The 24739-nt window shown below is 44.7% G+C and overlaps 1 protein-coding gene across 17 annotated transcripts in view; it reads left to right on the top strand.

Annotated features, from left to right (window-relative positions):
• Positions 1-15801, top strand: part of SLC37A3 (solute carrier family 37 member 3) — a 64779-nt gene extending 48978 nt beyond the window's left edge. For 4 of the 17 annotated variants that reach the window (NR_156489.1, NM_001363375.1, NM_001363376.1 and 1 more), the window contains 6 exons: positions 786-927; positions 3583-3684; positions 4290-4337; positions 5990-6141; positions 12204-12269; positions 14049-15801. Coding sequence is in view for 13 of the 17 variants with exons in the window: in NM_001363375.1 (NP_001350304.1) it covers positions 786-927; positions 3583-3684; positions 4290-4337; positions 5990-6141; positions 12204-12269; positions 14049-14141 (603 nt within the window). In the remaining 4 variants the exon portion in view is untranslated. The remainder of the gene's footprint in view (positions 1-785; positions 928-3582; positions 3685-4289; positions 4338-5989; positions 6142-12203; positions 12270-14048) is intronic. The other 13 variants (NR_156491.1, XM_047420949.1, NM_001363377.1 and 10 more) reach the window with 5 other exon arrangements.
• The last annotated feature ends 8938 nt before the right edge of the window (positions 15802-24739 follow it).

Below are 24739 nucleotides of genomic sequence, written 5' to 3'. Positions count from 1 at the left end.
CTGTCCCCCCCCCCTTTTTCCTTTGATGCTGAATGTCAGGATTTCCTGGTAGTAATGTGTTGAATATAGGAGTCTCAGCCCCACCACCATCTTCATGCAGCTGCAGCATTTTTTTCCCCTCAAGGGAGAGCCACGAGGCCGATGATGACATGTTCTTTCATTTTTGACTCGCCAGAGAGACTCTCTTCTTTGCCACCAGACCAGGGAATGTGGAGCTTTTGAAAACTAGTGTGAAAGGAATTATCATGCTGCTGCTTTTCTTAGACCGTGGAACTGTAGTGTAGTCCCTTTGCTGTCCATTGTTCACAGTGTTGCCTTGGCAAGGAGTAGAATAACCAACCCCGTTTGGCTGCTCCCAGTAAAGGCCGTGATGCTTCCTGGACTTCTTTGCCTATGGTTAACGCTGGTTAGTGGCATGAATACCATTCCTCTTTGTGTGAATAAAGAAATATGGGTATGTGCTCTGCCTTATAGGTTCAAAACACTGGCTTGCTTCTACCAGAGAACTGATAGGAGGAGAAACTGGACACAGCTAAGAAGTAGCCATAGGTGTTTTTTATTCCAAAGGCCTGCTGTACATGCCTGTCTAGAAGTTAACAGGGATGAAGAGCAGAGGGAGACTAGCTGAAGTCAGGCATGTGGGAGTTTGTAGAGATGTTTAACTGTAAAATCAGGTTCTGTTCATCCTAACTTCCTTTATTTTGTTTTGCTTTTAAATGACATTAAAAATGGTAGTCGTGCTGTGCTATTTGTCCCTCGCTGATAGTTGAATGCTTTTCTTGTAGTACTCACTGGCCTACGCCTGCTTGAAGTTAGTGAATTACTCCTTCTTCTTCTGGCTCCCCTTTTATCTGAGTAACAACTTCGGCTGGAAGGAGGCGGAAGCCGACAAGCTGTCCATTTGGTACGACGTTGGAGGGATCATAGGTATGCCGGTGATACATCTTTTCCATAATAAAGAGTTAGTCACTAGTGATCTTTTACTGGGTTGTGAAATCTGGCCTCATTTAAAGTTTTATTACTTATTCTACAGCCATTTTCCCTAAACTGTCCTACTAGTAAACAGCCAAACTCAAAAAAAAAAAAAAAAGAAAAGAAAAGAAAAGAAAAAACAAGAGGTCCATAGAAAGGAAGACCTAGCCTAAGGCAGCGCTGTGATTTATTGGACTCTTTTTTCTTAGTCCTTTGTTGATGGATCAGTTCTTTTGTCTCGGGAAGCACATGGGAATCTCTTTAAATGCAATCCTTTCATACGGCTTTCTCAGTGATATCTTAGCTCTAAAGCTAATTGTATGTCAGAGATCCAAGTTAGAATATGAACGTGTTCATTGTATCTACCTCCCACCTTCCCCACCTTCCCCAGCCTAATAAGGAAGAATACACCAGTCCCCCACTTATCTGTGGTTTCACTTTTCGAAGTTTCAGTTACTCTTAATACCGTACAATAAGATATTTTCAGAGAGACCATTCATATAACTTATGTTACAGTATATTGTTATTATTTTCTATTTTGTCGTTATTGTTAATTTCTGTGCCCAACTTATAAATTAAACTTGATCGTGGGTATGTATGTATAGAAAAAAACATAGTATGTATAGAGTTTGGTACTGTCTGTGGTTTCAGGTATCCACGGGGGTCATGGAACATATCTGCTGAGGATAAAGGGGAAATACACCTTAGTGTGTAGGTCGTCAGATCATAGAGGTAGACGTAACAGCAGGGATTAATTTTTGTGAATGTTTTACAGTTGTTTCATTATAAACAAAGATTTTAATAGTGGTTTTTTTTTTTTTTGCTGTAGCTAGAAGTATCAACAAGGAGGTAATAAGTATGAACAAGGAAGTAAGGCAGAGGAGCAGAATGTATTTTAGTGGGTATTACTTACATGGCTGTGCCAGATCTTAATAACCTTCAATAATGTTAACATTTAGAATTGTGGTGAGACTCAACTGCCGTGAGCTTGTGAAAGCACACAGTCTGTGCTAGGCAATCTGCTATTACTGTATTTGAACTTGGCTGCCCGTATTCTTAAATCCAGAGCCAAAGGTGAGGTTGCCACCGTTAGACCTCACCATATTCTGTATCCTCTGAAGTTGAAATTGTCCAGCTGCCTGCTATCTGATAAGGACACACCAGATGTCCAATAGCCCCTACAACTCAGAATGGTGCTGTATGTGACATTGTTGCTTGAAAGATTCATATCCCTGCTTTTTAAAGATTGTGTCCTATTAGCAAACCATAACTGCTAAATTTTATTTTAGTGAATATTTACTAGCCACTTTTTTTTTTCTTTTTTTTTTTTTTTGGAGATGGGGGTACTGCTCTGTCGCCCACGCTGGAGTGGCACGATCTTGGCTCACTGGAGCCACAACCTCCTGGGCTCAAGCGATCCTCCCTAAGTACCTGGGGCTACAGTCATGCACCACCACACCCAGCTAATTTTTTTGTATTTTTTGTAGAGATGGCATTTCACTGTATTGCCCAGGCTGGTCTCAAACTCCTGAGCTCAGGCAATTTGCCCACCTCGGCCTCCCAGAGTGCTGGGATTACAGGCGTGAGCCACTGTGCCCACCTACTGGCCTCAATATACTGTAAGGCACAGTTTTTTTGGTTTTTGAGACACGGTCTTGCTCTGTTGCCCAGGCTAGAGTGCAGTGGCACAATACAGCTCACTGTAGCCTCAGCCTCCTGGGTTCAAGCAGCACGATACGGTTCACCACAGCCTCAACCTCCTGGGCTCAAGCCATCCTCCTACCTCAGCCTCCCAAGTAGCTGGGAATATAGGCACGTGCTACCATGCCCGGCTAATTTATCTTTTATAGAGATAAGGGCACTGTGTTGCCCAGGCTGGTTTTGAACCCCTGGCCTCAAGCAGTCCCCCAGCCTTGGTCTCCCAAAGTGCTGGGATTATAGGCATGAGCCACCATGCCCAGCAAGGCATAGTTCTTAATTCATTATCTTTCAAATTAAAAAGAAAAATCAAAAATAGCATTCACAACTTGTTTTTGTAAGGGATAGCCGATGGCTTTGACAGTTTTTCCTTTTTTCATGTTTTGCTGTCTGATTTGTGGTCTCCTGTCCCCACTGGTCATCATGGTGATTTAACAGACAGTTTATTCCTAAAAGGAAGTTATGGAGGACCCCTTTTCAGGGAGTCAGACCTATTTTTTTTTGAGACAGAGTCTCGCTCTGTCACCCAGGCTGGAGTGCAGTGGCGCAATCTCGGCTCACTGCAAGCTCCGCCTCCCAGGTTCACACCATTCTCCTGCCTCAGCCTCCTGAGTAGCTGGGACTACAGGTGCCCGCCACCACGCCCGGCTAATTTTTTTGTATTTTTAGTAGAGACAGGGTTTCACTGTGTTAGCCAGGATGGTCTCCATCTCCTGACCTTGTGATCCACCTGCCTCAGCCTCCCAAAGAGCTGGGATTACAGGTGTGAGCCACCGAGCCCGGCCCAGCCATATTTTTTGATAGACTAGTGTCAGGCTGCTGCTAGTGAGACTAGAGGGCAAATGGGGAGCACGCCTCAGGTGAGCGAGCTAAATTAGAAGTGATTTTGATTGCTCGACACTCTGCTTGAAGGTGGAACTTTGCAAGGCTTCATCTCTGATGTACTACAGAAGAGAGCGCCGGTTCTTGCCCTGAGTCTGCTTCTGGCAGTTGGGTCCCTCATCGGGTATAGTCGTGAGTATTCTTTTGCAATTACTAATTCCTTTGCTCCCCTAATCTGGTTGGAATAAGGCATTTGTTTGGAGTCAGTGACCAGTGCTGGGGAGAGCCTGGAGACCAGCTTCAAGGCCCGATATGCCACCTTTGCATTGTCCTGTGAATGCCTGGGAAACCTGTCATCACATAGTTTTATTTGTCTTGGGAGGAAACTGGCATCTCTTTTGCTTTGTTAATTTGCTTAAAAGCTTGCTTGGGAGTGTATATGCTTTGTTTGGGGGAGGCTCCAGAGGCACAGCATTATAGCCAATAAAACAATAAAAAGGGAACAGGTTTCAAAAGCGGAAAGATGGTAATTAGTAGGTTTGGTATATTCCCTTAAGATGCTGCTGAGACAGGAGTAGAGCTTTTCTTTAGCTTTTAGAAGTCTTGTTAGCTTGAGCATTAGCAAGAGGCAGACGTTACAAATCAGAGTTGAAAGAGGCAGAGAGAGTTGTGTCTCTTTGTTGTCTCTGGGAGTGATTTGTGAGGTCACGGAGATTCAGATCTTCGCGTACGGTTGGCAGAGGCACGTGGAGTCTGCTTTTCAAGCCACCATGGTTTGTCTGTGTCTTCCCTCACAGGTTCTCCAAATGATAAGTCCATCAATGCCCTTCTGATGACTGTTACAGGTACGGCACATGGCTCTGCTCCACCATGCTTCTGTTGCTCTGTAAATTCAGAGGAAAAGGGAAACTGTTTTCTCCCTCAATTTGAGTAGTACCGAAACCTTAATTACAGAGAATTCAAATTTTAAAAGGAAAAACGCCTCCTTTTCCAGATTCTTTTTCTCTGCTGTTTCTTACATGACCTCCTCAGTCCTATTGTGACAGAAGCGGTCCCTATTGACAGAGATTTTCTACGATTTTTGATTGCTGCCCCAGCTTCTGCTCTTACCTCTAAAAGTGACTTAGAAAAATGCCACATGGGAGACCAATTCACCAGCTTTCAAAAAAATCCACAATAGCTCGTGTCTCCTCCTGTGTTGGAATTGGTCAGCATTTTGTCACTTGAGCACTAGATAAAATAGTTGGGTGCATTTAGGGACTATGTTATAGAAAAATTACTTACTTTATTTATTATTTATTTATTGAGACAGAATCTTGCTCTGTTGCCCAGGCTGGAGTGTAGTGGCACAGTCTCAGCTCACTGCAACCTACACCTCTTGGGTTCAAGTGATTCTCCTGCCTCAGCCTCCTGAGTAGCTGGTAATATAGGCGTGCACCACCACGCCCAGCTAATTTTTGTATTTTTAGTAGAGACATGGTTTCACCATGTTGCCCAGGCTGGTCTCAAACTCCTGACCTCAGGTGATCCACCTGCCTTGGCCTCCCAAAATGCTGGGATTACAGGCGTGAGCCACCATCCCCAGCCAGAAAAATTACTTATTTTAAACTTTCTAATTTTATTTTTATTTTTGAGAAGGAGTCTCGCTCTTGTCACCCAGATGGGAGTGCAGTGGTGCGATCTCAGCTAACTGCAACCTCCACCTCCTGGGTTCAAGTGATTCTTCTGCCTCAGCTTCCCAAGTAGTTGGGATTACAGGCGCCTGCTACCATGCCCAGCTAATTTTTGTATTTTTAGTAGAGACAGCGTTTCACCATGTTGCCCAGGCTGGTCTCGAACTCCTGACTTCAGGTGATCTGCCCACCTCAGCCTCTCAAAGTGCTGAGATTACAGGCATAAGCCACTGCGCCCGGCCAGAAAAGTTACTTATTTTAAACTTTAGATCATGCTTGGGAGAGTGAGCTGCTCATTCTACTTGGGGTACATGGAACTGATTCCAGCAGTGGGACCAGATTCACCTGGGCCATCGCATGCCTGATTCATGGGCAGCCTCACTGAGAGCAGTGGCAGATAGAGTCACCTGCTCCATTGCAGTGGCTTTTTCCTCTTTGCTCTTTTTTTTCAATATTCCTGGTTGAATTTGTGTAGTGGAATGATCATATGATGCAACTACCGTAATAGAATTTATTTGACAAGCTAGTGCAATTAGTTATTAATGAATGTAAACTTCACAGGATTAGAAGGGCTATGTGTTTCACTATTTTTGTATCTTTGGGTTCTACAAAATATACTAGAGTGTCACATAATTCGAGAAGGGATTTCAGGAACGTGGATGTTAACTACTAATAGTTTGAAAATGATACTATCTGGGGGTTTCCTTTTTTTTCCACTTCTCTCCAACATATTAAGAAAACTATTCGGATATTATTTTGCCTTATGCAGTAGATTGCTAGTGGTTGTGAATTGTGTTTTAATAAGAACCTGTTTATGACTTCAGGATTTTTTATTGGTGGACCTTCTAATATGATTAGTTCTGCTATTTCTGCGGACTTGGGTCGCCAGGAGCTCATCCAAAGGAGCAGTGAAGCTTTGGCCACTGTCACAGGAATTGTGGATGGTTCGGGGAGCATTGGAGCTGCAGTGGGCCAGGTGAGAGAACAGGAGAGGGGCTGGGATTCTAGTGTCTTCCCTCAAAGGCGGCTGAATGTGAACCTGCCCTCTGGGCCTCAGTAGGTGGCACTCTTGTGCTGTAGAACGCTGTTCCCAGAGCCCAAGGACTTCCGTCTCCCCTCAGGACCAGCTGATGCGTCCTAATGTAGAAGGACTCTCCATTGTTTTTAGTTCCTTTTTTCTACTTATACTTCTAGATTCTTCCTGTCTGCAAATAAGCTAAGACCTCGTAAGACAGACAGATCCTTCTGCCCCAGCCCACCATCCCCTTCTTTCTTTCCAGGCTGAACTTGGTATTCCGTGGTGGGGGGTGCTTCTTGTTATCCCCACCTGGCATGTGGACCCCACCATTGCTGTCTCCCGTCTCCCTCTCCCAGACACTCTACTGCATACACGTTCCTTCCTGGGCCCCGCCAGACATGGCCATGGACTCTGCAGCTGCTTCTGAATCACTCGCTCTGCTTCCTGTGTATCCAAAAATCTCTGACTGTATCTCAAAGAGTGGCCCATAAGTGTCTGGTATCAGAATCATCTGGGACACTCATTAAAGTACAGAACACCAAGCATACTACAGACTTGCTGAGTTCGAACCTACAGATCTGTATTTTCAACAAGGCTTCTTGGTGATTCTTCCACACTCAGATGTTTGAGATCCCTACACTAAGATTGGCCTACTATACTTAGAATTATTTACATTGACCTTTTTTTTTTTTGCATAAATTCAACTTTCTCTGGGACAGATATTTCTTTTCTGGCAGAGTCATGAGTCATGCCTCTTCTAGGATATACCACTACAGATTGTAGAGTACTAATTTTGTAGAAAGATGGATCTGAGAGTCATCTGTATGGATAAAAATAGTTGAACCTGTGGAAGTGAATGAAACATTTAATAGGGAAAGAGAATGTTGGCCGAGTCTCAGGGAATGCCCAGTGGTCAAAGAAAGAGGAAGGCAGCAGAGTAACCTGTAGTCAAGGGAACTGCGTTTGAGAAGGCGTTAGTAAGGTCATGGATGTAGAGAGGTCAGGAGAAAGAGAACTGAAGGATTTGTCTTTTAGGCTCTTAGTTTTGACATCTAGGAGGTCATTAATAACCTTGAAGATTATTGTTACTTGCTTGATGGGGGTGAATTGCTGATGTCTGATTGCTAGTGGTTAATGAGAGATAAGTATTGAGGTAAAGTAAGCCATGTTAATACTTTGACTACCTAGCCGTATTTTAATAGTCTATATGCACTTGTTAATGTCTGTCTCTCCCACTGTAACATAAGCTTCCTGAGCGCAGCATTTTGTTGTATGTTCTTCTGTCACCTTAGTACCTAGAACAGTGCCTGGCACACAGTAGACATTACTTGTGGAATGAATGACTGATATGCTTGGCATATTTGATTATAAGACTAAAGGGCAAAAAACCCCAAAGAAACAAAAACCTTAGCAAAGCCTTGAAAAATACGCTTACCTGATCATGCCCTGGAGCGGGAATCGAAAAATGCTCCCAGCCATCAGTTCAGACGTCTTCACCTATGGGGTAGAGAGTGGCTGCATTGGGCATCCTTTTCTGACATTATATTATTTTAAGTTATCCTTCCTTACGAATGTTTTCTTCACTAACTAAATGGGTGCATTATAATGAGTATTTCAGAGAATTTGCTTTTATTCAGATTGCCTCACCTGCCAGTATCCAGATCCCTCACTGTGAACTTGGGTCCTAGACTGACCTTCATGGTTGGGGAAGCACGTCTGGAGTAAATCACTGTTAGCTTTACTCATTCCTCTTCCATGTTGAGTTTTGAATGATTTCCCATTGCCTAAGGGGTGAAATCCCAAACTCTGTGACTTAGCGTTAACCTCTATCAGCTCTGTCCTTAGCCAGTGTACTAATTTACCCTGAATAACTTTGTTACCCCGTCTTTCCCTGACTTCCCAAGTAAAGAATTGTTTCTTCTTCAGGTTGCCATAGCAGTTGATGCGGTTCTGTAGTAGGCACCTGTCACGGTGTAAAGGTGATGCACCGTGACAGGTGCTCTGCTTGTTTCCTTCGTCTTTGTATTCCCAATGCTTAGTGCTTTTGTTGACACATACTAGGGGTTCAGTAAGATTAAATTGCAGTATCTGCCCAAGAGAAATGAGAACAAATGTCCACATTAAAACTTGTACATGAGGCTAGGTGTGGTGGCTCATGCCAGTAATCCCAGCACTTCGGGAGGCCAAGGCAGGAGAATTACTTGAGGCCAAGAGTTCAAGACCAGCCCAAGCAACATAGTGAGACCCTCATCTCTACAAAAAATAAAAAGTTAGCTGAGCATGGTGGTATGTGCCTGTCCCAACTACTTAGGAGGCTGAGACAGGAGGATCGCTTGAGCCTGGGAAGTCAAGGCTGCAGTGAGCCATGATCACACCACTCCAGTCCAGCCTGGGTGACAGAGCCAGACCCTGGCTCTCTCTCTCTATTTTTTTTTTTTGAGACAGCATCTGGCTCTTATGCCCAGGCTGGAGTGCAGTGGCAGGATCTTGGCTCACTGCAACCTCTGCCTTCTGGGACTCAAGCAATTTTCCCACTGCAGCCTCCCAAGTAGCTTGGACTGCAGGTACCCACCACCATGCCCAGCTAATTTTTGTATTTTTTTTGTAGAGACAGGGTTTCACCACATTGCCCAGACTGGTCTCAAACTCCTGGGCTCAAGTGATCCTCCTGCCTCAGCCTCCCAAAGTGCTAGGATTACAGGCATGAGCCACTTGCCTGGACAAGACCCTGTCTAAAAAAAAAAAAAAAGACAAAGTTGCAGTCAGTTTGGAGCCCCCCATGCTTCCTGTAGTGGATGATGAGACCTCTGCTTTTTTGCTACACATGATGTGATCTAATATAAATCACATAGTCGTTCTGCATTAATTTTTTTCACTTGTACATTTCAGTAATAATGTGATTGAAGAATGCTACCCTTTTGTGTCTGCGGCCAAATTGATTTTTGACAAGGGTGCCAGGACCATTCAATGGGGAAAGGATGGTCTCTCAATAAATAGTATTGGGAAAACTGGATATCCACGTGAAAAGAATGAAGTTGGAGCTGAGGAGTGGGAGAGGAAAGAAAAAAAAAAAAAAGAATGAGGTTGGACCCTAACCTTACCTCATATGCAAAAATTACCTCAAAATGGATTAAAGGCCTAACTTGAAGAACTTAAAATTATGAAACTCATAGAAGAAAACAGGGACAAATCTTCATGACAAATATGTACAAATGACCAATAAGCACATGAAGAGTCTCAGCATCCTTAGTCATTGGGAAAATGCAAATCAAAAACACAGTGAGCTGTGACTTCATGCTTACTACGATGGCTGTAATTAAAAAACAGGAAAGGGCCGGGCGCGGTGGCTTAAGCCTGTAATCCCAGCACTCTGGGAGGCCGAGGCGGGCGGATCACGAGGTCAGGAGATGGAGACCCTCCTGGCTAACACGGTGAAACCCCGTCTCTACTAAAAATACAAGAAAAATTGGCTGGGCGTTGTGGCGGGTGCCTGTGGTCCCAGCTACTTGGGAGGCTGAGGCAGGAGAATGGCGTGAACCCGGGAGGTGGAGCTTGCAGTGAGCTGAGATTGTGCCACTGCACTCCAGCCTGGGTGACAGAGTGAGACTCCATCTCAAAAAAAAAAACAAACAGGAAAGGTGACTGGTGCTGGCAAGGATGTGCAGAAATTGGAGCCCTGCATTGCTGGTGGGAATGCAAAATGATGCAGCTTCTGTGAAAAATACTTTGGTGCTTCTTCCAAAAAATTTAAATAGAATTACCATATGACCCAGCACTCCTAGGTATTTCCCGAAAGATTGAAAACTGGGGGCCGGGCGCGGTGGCTCATGCCTGTTATCCCAGCACTTTGGGAGACCGAGGTGGGCAGATCACTTGAGGTCAGGAGTTCGAGACCAGCCTGGCCAACATGGTGAAACCCTGTCTCTACTAAAAATACGAAAATTAGCTGGATGTGGTGGCAGGTGCCTGTAATCCCAGCTACTCAGGAGGCTGAGGCAGGATAATCGCTTGAACCTGGGAGGCGGAGGTTGCAGTGAGCCAAGATCACACCACTGCACTCCAGCCTGGGTGACAGAGGAAGACTCTCTCAAAAAAAAAAAAAAAACAAAACTGGGACTCAGATATTTGTATGTCAACATTTATTGCAGTATTATTCATAGTAGCCAAAAGGTGGAAACAACTTGGGTCCATCAGCAAATGAATGGAGAAACTAAATGTGGTATATCCATACCAGGGAATACTAATGAGCCATTAAAAAGAAATGAAGGGAAGTTACAGTGAGCTGTGATCATACCATTACACTACAGTCTGGGCAACAGAGAAAGACCCTGTCTCTTTTAATCCCAGCACTCTGGGAGGCTGAGGTGGGTGGATCACCTGAGGTTAGGAGTTTGAGACCAGCCTGGCCAACATGGTGAAACCTCGTCTCTACTAAAAATACAAAAATTAGCTGGGCGGGGGGTGGCACCTCAGCTACTTGGGAGGCTGAGGCAAGATAATCGCTTGAACCTGGGAGGAGGAGGTTGCAGTGAGCCAAGATCGCACCACTGTACTCCAGCCTGGGTGACAGAGCAAGACTCCATTTAAAAAGAAAGAAAGTCCGGGCGCAGTGGCTCACGCTTGTAATCCCAGCACTTTGGGAGGCTGAAGTGAGTGAATCACCTGAGGTCAGGAGTTCCAGACCAGCCTGGGCAATGTGGTGAAACCTCATTTCTACTAAAAATAGAAAAATTAGCCGAGCATGGTGGCTCACACCTGTAATCCCAGCTACTCTGGAGGCTGAGGCAGGAGAATCACTGGAACCTGGGAGACAGAGGTTGCAGTAAGCAGAGATTGCCCCACTGCACTCCAGCCTAGGTGACAGAGCGAGACTCCATCTCCAAAAAAAAAGGAGTGAAGTTCCAATGTAGTTTACCTTGAAAGCATTATGCTAAGTTAAACAAGCCAGACATAAAAGGACAAATACTGTGATTCCATTTACACGAAATATCTAGCATAGGCCAGTTCATGGAACCAGAAAGAAGAGGTTAGCAAGGGCTGGGGAGATGGGCAGTTAATTTCTTAATAGGAACAGAGTTTCTATTTGGATGATGAAAAAGTTTGGAAATAGATGGTAGTGTTGGTTGTACAGCATTATGAATGTAACTGATACCACTGGATTGTACACTTAAAAATGGTTAAAATGGGCCGGGCGCAGTACGCCTGTAATCCCAGCACTTTGGGAGGCCGAGGTGGACGGATCACAAGGTCAGGAGATTGAGACCATCCTGGCTAATGTGGTGAAAACCCATCTCTACTAAAAATACAAAAAATTGGCCGGGTGAGGTGGCAGGCGCCTGTAGTCCCAGCTGCTCGGGAGGCTGAGGCAGGAGAATGATGTGAACCTGGGAGGCAGAGCTTGCAGTGAGCCGAGATTGCGCCACTGCACTCCAGCCTGAGCGACAGAGCGAGACTCCATCTCAAAAAAAAAAAAAAAGTTAAAATGGCAAATTTTATGTAAGCTATATCTTACCATAATAAGAGAAAAAAAGAAAATGGGTTAAATAAGTGCAATTAGATCCTTTTCAGTAATTGAAAGTAAAATAAAAGAATATGCTGTAGGATGCAAAGGTAGTACTGCAACACTGTGAGCAAACAGCCTAATTGGAAAATGAGTGGCATACTTAAAGACAAACTATTTTTGAGGCATCAATTATAGTACCTTTCATTGGAAGAAAGAATGATTAAATGGGAGTGGCTTGCGGATGTTCATCTTCCTCTCTAAATAGCAAAGTGAATAAAAATAAACCTTCTGAACTGACAACTTCTATTATACGGTTTTTCCATTTGGACTCTGCATGCTTAAATGGGCCATTAATCACAGCAGGCACATGTATGTGGAAGAGCTTTGTAAACTGCAAAACATACAAATCCTGTTCCCTTCTTATTTTCTAAAATAGCCATGTTTAATCTACTTTTTAGCTGCTTCCTTTTATGAATTATAAAGAATTATATTGTAATTTTTTTTTCCTCCCTTTCAGTATTTAGTGTCTCTGATCCGGGACAAGCTAGGATGGATGTGGGTTTTCTACTTTTTCATTCTCATGGTAAGTGTGTGCCCCTTTAAAAAAAAAAAAGTCATTTTTCTGTTAATTAAGTTCAAAGCACTTACTTAAGTCACTTCAGCAAAACTGTTGATTGCTTTTAAAGGCTCCTTTGTGAAAAGTAACATTTTATTAGTCTAAAAGACATCTTCTTCTTCTTCTTCTTCTTTTTTTTTTTTTTTTTTTTTGAGGCAGAGTCTCGCTCTGTTGCCCAGGCTGAAGTGTGGTGGCGTGATCTTGGCTCACTGCAGCCTCTGCCTCCCGGGTTCAAGCGATTCTCCCACCTCAGCCTCCCGAGTAGCTGGGATTACAGGCGCCTGCCACCACACCCGGCTAATTTTTGTATTTTTAGTAGAGATGGGGTTTCACCATATTGGCCAGGCTGGTCTTGAACTTCTGACCTCAGGTGATCCACCCGACTCGGCCTCCCAAAGTGCTGGGATTACAGGCAGGAGCCACTGCGCCTGACTTCACATTCTTCTTTGTGAGGAAGAAAAAGGCTCTCAGTTTGCTCTTGACCTGAGTCTAATGAATATTGCCATTTATGATTTCAGAAAAACAAGAAGAGACTTATTTAAAGTATCACCAGCCCCTAATCAGTATACTCTTCTAGGCTACCCTCTATCTGCTGAATATAATATAGGAATTCTGAAGTAAATTACAATGTATACCAAGCAACACTTGAGTTAAAAGAGAAGCATTGCTGTAATCAACACTGTCATGTTTCCCGGTTCTAAAATGTTGATAGTTTCTTGAGGAAATATTTATGATGCCCTAGACATTCTTGGCTGGGATTCTCTACTTTCTTGGAAATAGCCAATACAGAGTAAGGCCTTGTTTATTTTTATTTATTTATTTTTTTGAGACAGGTCTCATTCTGTCACCCAGGCTGGAGTGCAGTGGCACGATCACAGCTCACTACAGCCTTGACCTCCTGGGCTCAGGTGATCTTGGGCTCAGGGGGTCCTCCCACCTCAGCCTCCTGATTACCTGGGACTATAGGTGTGTGCCACCATGCCTGGTAACTTTTTGAATTTTTCCTAGAGGTGGTTTCACCATGTTGCCCAGGCTGGTCTCAAACTCCTGAGGCTTTGTGCTTTTAAAATATTGCTCTCTGTTATGAGCTGTGACATACTCAGGCACGTTATTGTGGGACAGTGCTCAAGACAGGTCTACCTGAGAGAGTCTGGAAGGCACCAGGGACGCATTCAGTATCCTGTCCCCAAATCCAGGGCACTGTAATTGAAGGCAGCTTCCACCACCCGTACTCCAGGCAGCTGTCCTCTTGCTGTGGTCAAGGAGCCCCAGGATAGTCCAGCTCCAGGAATACCTTGGAGCTTTCATCTAATTCCCATCTAGCTTCTAAAGACTGGGCCCATGTAACTTGTGTTCCATTTCTGACATCCATGCTAAGTAGAGGGAAGTATCTTGTGATGAACTTTCTGATGTGATCATACTAGGAACTGTAGTAGAAAGAAAACTTTTATCTATTATAAGGATCACTGTTGTTCATCTGAGCCTCTGGTCTCAGTTCTCTGCTCCGCCTATGGCAAATTATTTGTATGTATTGTTCTTTTTTTGGGAACTGAAATGTGATGTTGAGTGTTTTGTAATATTAGCCATAATTTTCAAAATCATTTTCTAATTCATTGAAGATTAAACATTATCTTTGTATGAAGTCAAAATGAATGTAATTGTCCAAATCCATTATTATGTTCAAAACATGACACTCTAACAGAAGTAAACTGTTGCTGCATATTTAATACTATTTTCTCTTTACAGACAAGTTGTACAATTGTGTTTATCTCGCCATTAATAGTGAGGGAAATATTCTCTCTCGTGCTAAGGAGACAGGCTCACATATTGAGGGAGTGACCGGTGCCCGCGAGACAGAAAGAACAATGTCAGCCACATCAGGACCGCTGGGGCTTCGAGTCTGCCCTAATTTGGGTTTGTCTAGGAGCTCCAGCCTGATCTTGGATTGTCAGGCGTCTCTCAACACTGCCAGCCACCTGAGATGCTGACCAGCAGTGAAGGCTGCACTAGTTTTCTACACTACAGGAATTACTGTTGATGATTTTTGCTGTTGTTTCATGAATGTGCCGAGTGACTTCTGACTCTGCCAGCATCTTTGACCTCTGACTCTGCCCGCGTCTTTGTTTGGCCTATTGAGGTTTAGCGTTTTAACCTTAACTGTTGTTTTGGACTTGAACTTTCTCTAGCCTTGAAAATGGAGTGAACAGGAGGCAAAGCCACGCGTGGTTTGTGTTGGTGGTATGTTCCACAAATGGAAGAGATCATTGCATTTTGCTTTGGTAATGAGTTTACAGAGAGTGGGTCATCTTTGAAGCATCAAATCCTGATCAAATGCTCAAGCTGGACCGAGCTGCAAGCCTGCCTTGGACAAAGAATCCCTCTGTTCACTGTGGTGGGAAAGATCACACTACATGCCTGTTGATTGGCTCAGTCACTCTGTGTCTGATCTAAACGTCATTCAGCCCTAGAAGCATGAATTGCTTCAAATTATTGTCAACTTGTTCTCTTCCATTTTCATTCAAATTAACTTTGACTCCTGGAAGTATTGAGTCTTCCTTTCAAGGACCATAAGGTACATCAGTTATCTTGAACATTCTGACGTGTAAAGGACCATAAGGTACATCATTTATCTTGAACATTCCGACGTGTAACTCACAGCCGAAGCACTCCATCCCAGATTTGTTGTCTGGGAACTTAGGATCCTCTAGGAAGCTAATCTGCTTAGTCTATTTTTAGAGGATTGATCTCTGGCACAAGCAGCTTCCTGGAGTTACCTCAGCAGAAGACTAGAATTAGAGAAAAGGGAAAGACCTTTTCTTCTAGTAAGTGTCAAGTACAGATGCTCTTTGACTTATGATGGGGTTATGTCCCAGTAAACCCATTGGAAGTCAAATGCATTTAATACCCCTGACTGGACACCACAGCTTAGCCTCGTCCACCCTAAATGTACTCAGAACACTTAGAATTGCCCACAGTTGGGCAGAATCATCTAACACAAACTCTATTTTATAATCGAGTGTTGAATATATCATGTAATTTATTGAATATTGTACATTATGTTGAAATTGCAACCATTTCACACCATTGTAAAGTCCAAAAATCAGAAGCTGAGGACTGTCTGTACATGACATTGAATCACATGAATGGATTACTAGGGCCTGAGGGGTGTCCGTTCTTTAGAAAAATGTAGAGTATATATATCTTCAGGGCTGTGAATTCCATACTAGTTATCAATATTTTAAGATCATTCTGTATATACATATTTTAAATTATGCAAGCAAACTAGGAGGAGAATGTGCAATTTTGAGGGATACCTAATTTGCATTCGGTTAGGGGATATTTTTCAACCTCTTGCTTTATACTCTGATATGGGGTGTGTTTATGAACTTGTTAATGTTATTTAATCATGCAGATTTCCAATCAGTGTATTGCTCATTTACTGACAAAAAGGGAAAATACGAAACACAGAAAGGGAAAATAAACTGACTTTTATAATGAATCTCCATTTCGTTACTTAAATCTATATACCATGAGCACTGAGATTTAGAATGTGATCGGTGCCCTCATGTTTCCTGATACTGAGCGCTCCCGGGTGAGCCCACGCTGACCCACAGCATTGCTGGGTCACGTGCTCCCTCACCTGAGGTGCTGGGGTGGCTTCATTTCCATCTGTTCTGTGAAAACTTGCCCTTTCCCACTGTGGAAGACTGTGCTCGGTTTGGATGAATTGCCCGGTTGTAAGTTAAGGGCCGTCTGTTTTCTCATTGAACCTCTTGGCTGGCGTTTGGCTCAGAGTTTCCTTTCCGGCTGCACTGTGGGTGTGGTCTCATCTTTGTGTCCCCACGCCAGCCAATGTTTTCTTACCCAGTTGAACCTTAGATCGGTGACTGTTCCCCTGACCTTTCTATGGCCCCCGAGCTGTACTGAAATGAAACCATTTAAAAAAATTTTTTTGAGACAAAAGTCTCGCTCTGTCACCCACACTGGAGTACAGTGGCACGATCATGGCTCACTGCACCCTTGACCTCCTGAAGTCAAAAGCGATCCTCCCGCCTCAGCTCCCAAGGAGCTGGGACTAGCCTCCCAAGTAGATGGACCGTGCGCCACCATGCCTGGCTAATTATTTTTAGTCTTTTTATTTTCTGTAGAGACGAAGTCTCACTGTTACCCAGGCTGGTCTCAAACTCCTGGGCTGAAGCGATCCTCCCACCTTGGCCTCCCCAAGTACTGGGATAACAGGCATGAGCCACTGGGCCTGCGTAAAATGAAATTACAAATCAATGCTCAGCACTGGACAACATGAAATAAGGATATATTCCCTTATTCTAGTTCTGCCAGTCTGCACAGGATTTAACTTTTTTTTTTTTTTTTTTTTTGAGATGGAGTCTCACTCTTGCCCAGGCTGGAGTGCACTGGTGCAATCTTGGCTCACTGCAACCTCCACCTCCCGGGTTCAAGCGATTCTCCTGCCTCAGCCTCCCAAGTAGCTGGGACTACTACGGGCACACGCCACCACGCCCAGCTAATTTTTGTATTTTTAGTAGAGATGGGGCTTCGCCATGTTGACCAGTCTGGTCTGTAACTCCTCAAGTGATCCACCTGCCTTGGTCTCCCAAATTGCTGGGATTACAGATGTGAGCCACCGTGCCCAGCCAGGATTTAACTTTGATGAACATCTAAGAGTTCACTTTATTTTCTTCTTAATATCTTCTCCCTTGAGAAGGGAAGAGAAAACCATAGTGAAAGCTAATTTGAAAATGCATCCTTTCCTCACAGCCAGATCGTCGATGCTCGCTAGGTTGAAATAAAATGCTGCGGTCTGCCTTTTCTTTTCAGAAGGTGGTTTTTTTTTTTCTTACAGTTTCAAAGGAGGAAATGTCTCTCCCTACTCCTGCTTATTCTGTCCTTTCCTGGTTCCCGAGGAACCAGAGTGCCACAGTCAGCATTCCTGCAGCAGTATTGGAGGAGCTGCTGTTCCTCATGATGTTCCGTGGGATGGAGAATGTGCAACGCTCTCAGTCCTTTGTGCCTCTTCCCTTTTCCCTTTTTTTTTTTCTTTTTTTGAGACAGGGTCTTGCTCTGTTGCCCAGGCTGGAGCGCAGTGGCACAATCATAGCTCACTGCAGCCTCAACCTCCTGGGCTCAAGCAGTTCTCCCACTTAAGCCCCACCCTGAGTAGCGAGGGCTACAGGTGCACACCACCACATTCAGCTAATTTTTTAAAATTTTTTTGTAGAAAAGGGGTTTCGCTGTGTTTCCCACGCTGGTCTTGAACTCCTGGGCTCAAGTGATCTGCCCACCTTGGCCTCCCAAAGTGCTGGGATTACTGGCATGAGCCACTGCACCCAGCCCCCTTCTTCAGAACCTCCAGAAGTCCTCCTGTCTCCCAAATCAATACACGGTAAAGCCTTTTCTTTTCCCTACTGGCTTTTCTGACTAATGTCCTAGTTTTCTTTTTGCAGCTAAACCCTTTGAGCTAATAGACAGTATCTGCTGCCTTCCCATCTATACTACTCATTTCCTCCTCAACTAGGTAGCTACCTGTCTATCTGTTGGCCCAGGACAGTCCTGACTTATACCTGTCATTCACCGTAATTATCAATGGCACTTCCTTTTGCTCTCCAAGTGTCCTGATTTGGACCCCTTATCTCTAGCCTCTGGCCTCTCATCACCCTACAGAAGCCATGCATTGAGGGTCATTGAATTTTGAGACTTTTTCCCCCCTCATCCCATATTTGTGCTTGACACCTGTAACCACTTCGTCTTTCCCAGGACTTTTTCTTCTTTGGCTTCTCTGGCATTTTAATTTATCGAATCTTCTTACTGACTATCCCTTTTCCTGGGTTCTCTCCTCTGCTCTGCCTGCACTGGTCTCCTTTCTACTTTCCCTGATGAGCTATTTTTGTAATCTACCAATAACCCTGTCAAGTACTTAATGAACAAGAAGCCACTAAAGAGAGGAATGGCATCTGTTTGTTAATGACTATCTGGTGTATAGTTAAGAACAGCTGGTCTCAGGGGAGGGGAATGGGCTCGACTTATATAATCCCAACCCCTTCTCCCCTCCCCACACAGACCATTCTGCCAGTTTGCTGCATTAATCGTTTTCAACTCTTTAGGTCATAAACCCTTTTGAGAATCTGAAAGCCACTTAATGTCTCCCAGATTGAAATGCTTATATGAAAAAGTATTCGCAATTTTCTCATTGGGTGTTCATGAGCCAAAACTTGAAGCTCATCATTGGACCACAAAGTTAGAAACCTTGGTCAAGAGAATCAAGTGCCTGTGATTGAGATTCTGCAGAATTCAGTTTCATCGCTTTCTGTACTGACCCTCCCATTGCCTGTCTACACGAACCTTCTGCAGCATCAGACCAGTTAGCTCATTACTCACTGCAAAGGGCAGTTGTGCATTCATATTCATACCTTCTTGTCTTGATTGACACCTCTCTTTAATACCCCTGTTTTGCTCCCAGCTTCATGAATCTTAATTTTCTCTCAAGGCTTGGCCAAGCACCATCTCATCTGAGGAACCTTTCCCAACCAGCCATGCTAGTCCTTCCTTCTCTACCGTCTCTCCTTCCCTTGGTGGTAATGTCAGTGTTGCTTATTTGGTGCTTAGCTGTTTCTGTCTTCCCTATTTTTGTATCTAACTCCCCAGGGAGACTGCTGCTGTTTTTTTGCAGTGCCCAGCTCCTCGCATGGTTGGTGCGGAATAAATGTGGAGTGTGTTGGGAAGGGTGGGAGGAAGATTCAAGAGTGGAGTGTGGGCAGAGCAGGCCAAGGCAAAGTTCCTCCCTGACCCTGCACACTGCCCCGCCACCTGCTTTACTCAGGACGCTGCACGCCTGCAATTAATGGCCGCAGACTGTCGGCGCTGCCCAGGTTCTCGGACTACGTGGGTTTTGAGTGCATTCTCCTCTCCTCTGGCTCTTGGCAGCCTCGCCAGCTCTCCCTGAGGGCTCAGCGGCAGCGAACAGTGAGCTCTTTTGCTCCAGTACAAATCTCTATGTTACTCAAGCTGCTAGCTTTATTCCTGCTGCGTGTTTTTACTTGGCCTGTCCCTTCCAAGCATTCAAACTCTCTTCATCCGTCATAGTCCCCCTTCATTGCCCACCTCCATGAAGCTTTTCCCGGTAACCCTGCTAGTAATGCTATTTTCCTTCTGGAAACTTCTCTTGAGAGCCCTTATCCTTAGACCACACAGTCTGCCCCAGGCTGATTGGTTTTATTGCCTTATTTTGTTCTCGATTGTTTCTGGCTAAGTTCTCATTTCCTCAATTAAATTGTGAGAGTCACAGGAGTCGGCACCCTGGCCCAGGACACAGCAGCCATTTCATCACCACCGGCTGATGTTCCTTCCCACCTTGCCTCTTCTGTGCCTTTAGAGTCAAAGCACAATCTTGTGCTTTTCCTTAGGCCATTTCTGGCGACATAAAGTTTGTTTCAGCTTATGTCTAGAATAAATCAAATTAAATGTGAAATACTGTTCGGGCATCATGGCTCATGCCTGTAATCCCAGCACTTTGGGAGTCCGAGGCGGGCAGGTCACTTGAGGTTAGGAGTTCAAGACCAGCCCGGCCAACATGATGAAACCCTGTTTCTACTAAAAATACAAAAATATAGCCTGATGCGGTGGTGAGCGCCTGTAATCCCAACTACTCAAGAGGCTGAGGCAGGAGAATCACTTAACTCAGGAGGTGGAGGCTGCAGTGAGCCGAGAGCGCGCCACTGCACTCCAGCCTGGGTAAAAGAGCAAGACTCCATCTCAAAAAAAAAAAAAAGTGAAATACTGGTATTTACATATACATGATCATAAATAATACAAATCACTTCAATGTGTTTTTATTTTATTTTATTTTATTTTTTTGAGATGGAGTCTCGCTCTGTCGCCCAGGCTAGAGTGCAGTGGCGTGATCTCGGCTCACTGCAATCACACCATTCTCCTGCCTCAGCCTCCCGAGCAACTGGGACTACAGGCGCCCGCCACCACACCCAGCTAATTTTTTTTGTATTTTCAGTAGAGACGGAGTTTCACCGTGTTAGCCAGGATGGTCTCGATCTCCTGACCTCGTGATCCGCCCGCCTCAGCCTCCCAAAGTGCTGGGATTACAGGCGTGAGCCACTGCACCCAGCCACTTCAATGGTTTTATATTTGTGTGTGTGTGTGTGTGTGTGTGTTATATGCAACGTAACAATGATTTGTTACTATATGGCTTTTTGGAAGTAAGAACATACGCATGTTGCATAGTTAATCAAATAATACTCGAAAAGTTCTGTACCTGGACACCCAAGGTGTGGTCTTTCAGCCATTAGTGAAATAATGCTTCATAGGTGGATGCATCTTTTAAAACTGCTGTTCCGTTCACTACTCTGTTTTATCCCCTCCACAGTCTGAGGTCTGCAGGTGATTCTGTAGTTTACATGTCAGAACCAAGATTCAGAGAGAGTAAGTGGCTTGCTGGGAGTCAAATCATCTGAATAACAGAACTAGGACTAAATTAAAACCCAGTTTTTAAAATTTAACTTCAGTGGCTTTTTTTTTTCTGCCATGCAGCCTCTCCTTAAATTGACTCTTCCCCTAGGCTTACTTCTACTTCCAGGGTGTAAATTGGGTAGCCAGTTCTCATCTTTCTCTAGGGCCAGAGTCCCAAGGGTGAGCAGAATTGTCAGACCTGCACCTTTGTGTGGAAACCACCTGTGTCCCGTTCCTGCTGTTGGGCTGTGGCCCCACAGGGATGTCCAGGCCAGCCTGGCTGACTGGCCTTGCCCTGGGGTCTTAGCCTCTCTCTAGGGGGCCTTCTGTACTAGATTTACCTTTTTATTTTTTTTGAGATGGAGTTTTGCTCTTGTCGCCCAGGCTGGAGTGCAGTGGTGCGATCTCAGCTCACTGCAACCTCCACCTCCTGAGTTCAAGCGATTCTCCTGCCTCAGCCTCCCGTGTAGCTGGGAGGTGCCTGCCACCATGCCTAGCTAATTTTGTATTTTTAGTAGAGATGGGGTTTCACCATGTTGCCCAGGCTGGTCTTGAACTCCTGACCTCAGGTGATCCACCCACCTTGGCCTCCCAAAGTGTTGGGATTACAAGTGTGAGCCTCCGCACCCGGCCTAGGTTTGCCTTTCTAAACAGCACCTCTTTACTCTTTTTCCCTCATCTTCTGTTTGAGTCTAAGAGTTGCACCATCCACTTGATAAACTGCTGCCTTGGTGTTTCTCCCCCAATTCTGTGTCTGCACAGTCAGCGGAGGTGTGACTGTTTCACGTGCCCGGCTGACCCAGGTCTGCCTTGGGTCCCTGCTCGGGCACCCCTCTTTCTAACAAATGTTGAATTAACCTTGAATGAGATTGTTGCTTCTAAAATGCCATTGGTCAGCTTTTTACTGCTTGTTCTTGCCCTCTGTTTAAGGAATTTTTTTTTCTTTTTGTCCTTTCAGGAATTAAATAAAAAGTAGCAAAATTGTTTGAAACTGTTTTCAATCCCCTTTATCACTGTGGCACAGGAAGCTGTCATCTCAGAAATTCATTGGCAGAGAAACACAGATAAAAGGGCTACCCTGTTGGACAGGAATGTTCTTTTGGATTTAATGGGATAATTGTATTTAGGTAAAACCTTTCATCTGAGGACTTCAAAGGCCTTTACCTTGTTTAGTAGTTATTATCACACCCTACAGAGTGACATTAGGGTACCACACTCCTAGATATTTTTTGTGTGTGTGCATTTGTTTATTTATTTAGCATTTTGCTTGTTTTCTTAGGCTCACCATGGAAAGCCTCAGGAACCTAACAGCACTGCAGTTGATTTCCATTAAAAAATAGTACCTAACAAATAGCAGACGTAACTGGCCTCTGTGTCCTAGAATGACGAATGAAGATGTTAATAGGGTTATAAAATAAAGAGCAACCATTCTGGAGCCAGGAAGGCGGGGCTGCGAGGGGCAACAGTCGTGACCAAAGTACTGGTGGCAGAGAGCGCTCCTTCCCCACACGCCCCAGTGGGTTTTACTTTTATTGGTTCTACTCAGGTTCCGAAAAGAGATTATTCTGTGAACAAGCTCTTGGAGAGAGTGTAGAGCCTCATAATCCTCCTTAACAGATTTTTTTTTTTTTTGAGACAGAATCTCGCTCCGTTGCCCAGGCTGGGGTGCAGTGGTGCAATCTCAGCTCAGTGCAGCCTCTGCCTCCTGGGTTCAAGCGATTCTTGTGCCTCAGCCTCCAGAGTAGCTGGGATTACAGGCATCTGCCACCATGCCCGGCTAACTTTTGTATTTTTAGTAGAAAACAGGGTTTCACCATGTTGCCCAGGCTGGTCTCAAACTCCTGACCGCAGGTGATCCACCTGCCTAAGCCTCCCAAAGTGCTGAGATTATAGGCGTGAACCACGGCGCCTGACCAACAGATCTTTTGAGAAGCAAGCCTGTGTCATGACCTGAGGGAGGATCCCTAACTTCCTGCCCCCACCCTCCCAGCCCCAGGCTCTGCAATCCGTGAGAGGCCATTGGCACAGCCTCTGGATAAAGGGGTTGGATTGGTGGTGAAGGGAAGAAGCTTTCAGAGAAATCTTGGCAAGAGTGGCCATGGGGTGCCCAGTGCTGTCCCCTTTGCTGTCCCCTTCCACACGCATCTGGTCTTGGCACAGCCATGTCACTGTCTACCAGCTTCTTTAATGCTTCAGGGTCGTGGTGGTTGTGAGAGAGAAGGAGATTTTTATACCGTTGGTTATGTTTTCCTTCCCAAAGAAGCAGTTCTTGGCCTGTGAAAACCCTTTCCCCGTGGCGGACCATTCATACCTCTTGGCTCAGCAGGGGGAGACAAAGTCCCAGACACTGCCTGCTGCACTTGTTTGAAGGAAAGTGCTGCACGCTCTTTATTTCAGTCTCACTTTATATCCGTTTGTTTAGATGTCCTCCTGGCTAGTTATTCTCTCTCTGTTTCCCCTCTGTGTAAGTCCTCGGTTCCCTCCCCTGGCCTCCTATTTCCGCTGGTAACCTCCCAGTCCCTTATACTGGAAGATGCAGAGGACCTGGAGATCGTCCACTGAGACAGTTCAGCCTCAAAATCCCTGACTCAGCCTGTGCTAAAGTCTCAGAAGACGTGGGTCCTTAACTTCACTCGAAATCTCACTCCCTTAAATTAGCTTCTGTCCACCTTTTTCTTCAGTCTTTATGTCTCCAGACCTCTGAATTGAGTCAGTGGAGGGAGGAGAGACCTTCAGTCACCCCCTTCACCTCTCACAGCTGTCATCCCTCTACTACCAATGTTGAACAGATTCTCCGAATGGACAGTCCACCTATGGAAAACCACATTATTTTCCAGCAACTCTTCCTTCCATCATCTGGAATCCAGCTTTGAACTGAGTTTAGAGCTCAGTCGGCTTCCTCCCTCTCTCGTGTGTGAATTCCTTTGTGTTGTCTCTACCAGCTGGCCACTAACCTGTCCGCGGAAACTGTCCCCTTTCAAGGACCAGAGCATGCTCTCCCGGGGAAGCCATTCCATTGTTGGAGAGCTCCCATGGTTAGAACGGTCTTTATCCTATTCACTGGGGATCTCATGATTTCTTCCATTGGTTCTAGGAAAAAGCAACACAAATGTATATTTTCTCTTGAGATACGTGTGTGTGTGTGTATGTATATTTATGTGTGTGTATATATATATAAAATATATAAAATATACAGTTTTTTCCTTATTTACATTGAAGGGCTAACTCAATATATTTGAAGACAACTTCCGTCTTTCCCTTTGAAAAGCTTTTTAGGGCCAGGCGCGGTGGCTCATGCCTGTAATCCCAGCACTTTGGGAGGCTGAGGCGGGTGGATTGCTTGAGGTCAGGAGTTTGAGACCAGCCTGACCAACATGGCAAAACCCCGTCTCTACTAAAAATGCAAAAATTAGCTGGGCGTGGTGGCGGGCGCCTGTAATCCCAGCTATTTGGGAGGCTGAGGCAGATGAATTGCTTGAACCTGGGAGGTGGAGGAGGAGGTTGCAGGGAGCCGAGATCACGCCACTCCACTCCAGCCTGGGTGACAGAGCGAGACTCTCTCTCTCAAAAAAAAAAAAAAAAAAAGCTTTTTCAAAATGTGATTGAAACACTTCCCCCACTATTGCTTTCTGATCAAACTGGGAGGTCCCAGTTCTTCCCTTTTGAAATTGTTGAGTACCTTCTCATTCTTTGAACGCTACTGATCTTTCCCAACTTGATTTCCTCTTTCCTCCTAATCCTCAATCCCAAGAAACTCTCTAGGCAAAATTCTTTCATTTTCTGTGTTTCAGAGATTCTTGTTCATACTCAACCTTGTCTTCACCAGTCTACAAAACTCTAGAAAGGTCTACATTCTAATCGTTAAAAAAAAAAAAAAAAAAACAAAAAAACAAAAAACTCCTAGTACAGTGCCTGGTAAACAGGAGGTAGAACATTACTTAATGTTTAATTTTCTCTGTTCT

This window comes from Homo sapiens, chromosome 7 (assembly GCF_000001405.40).
Source record: "Homo sapiens chromosome 7, GRCh38.p14 Primary Assembly".
In the NCBI taxonomy this organism is placed as follows: Eukaryota; Metazoa; Chordata; class Mammalia; order Primates; family Hominidae; genus Homo; species Homo sapiens.
This window is presented reverse-complemented; position numbering and strand designations above follow the sequence as displayed.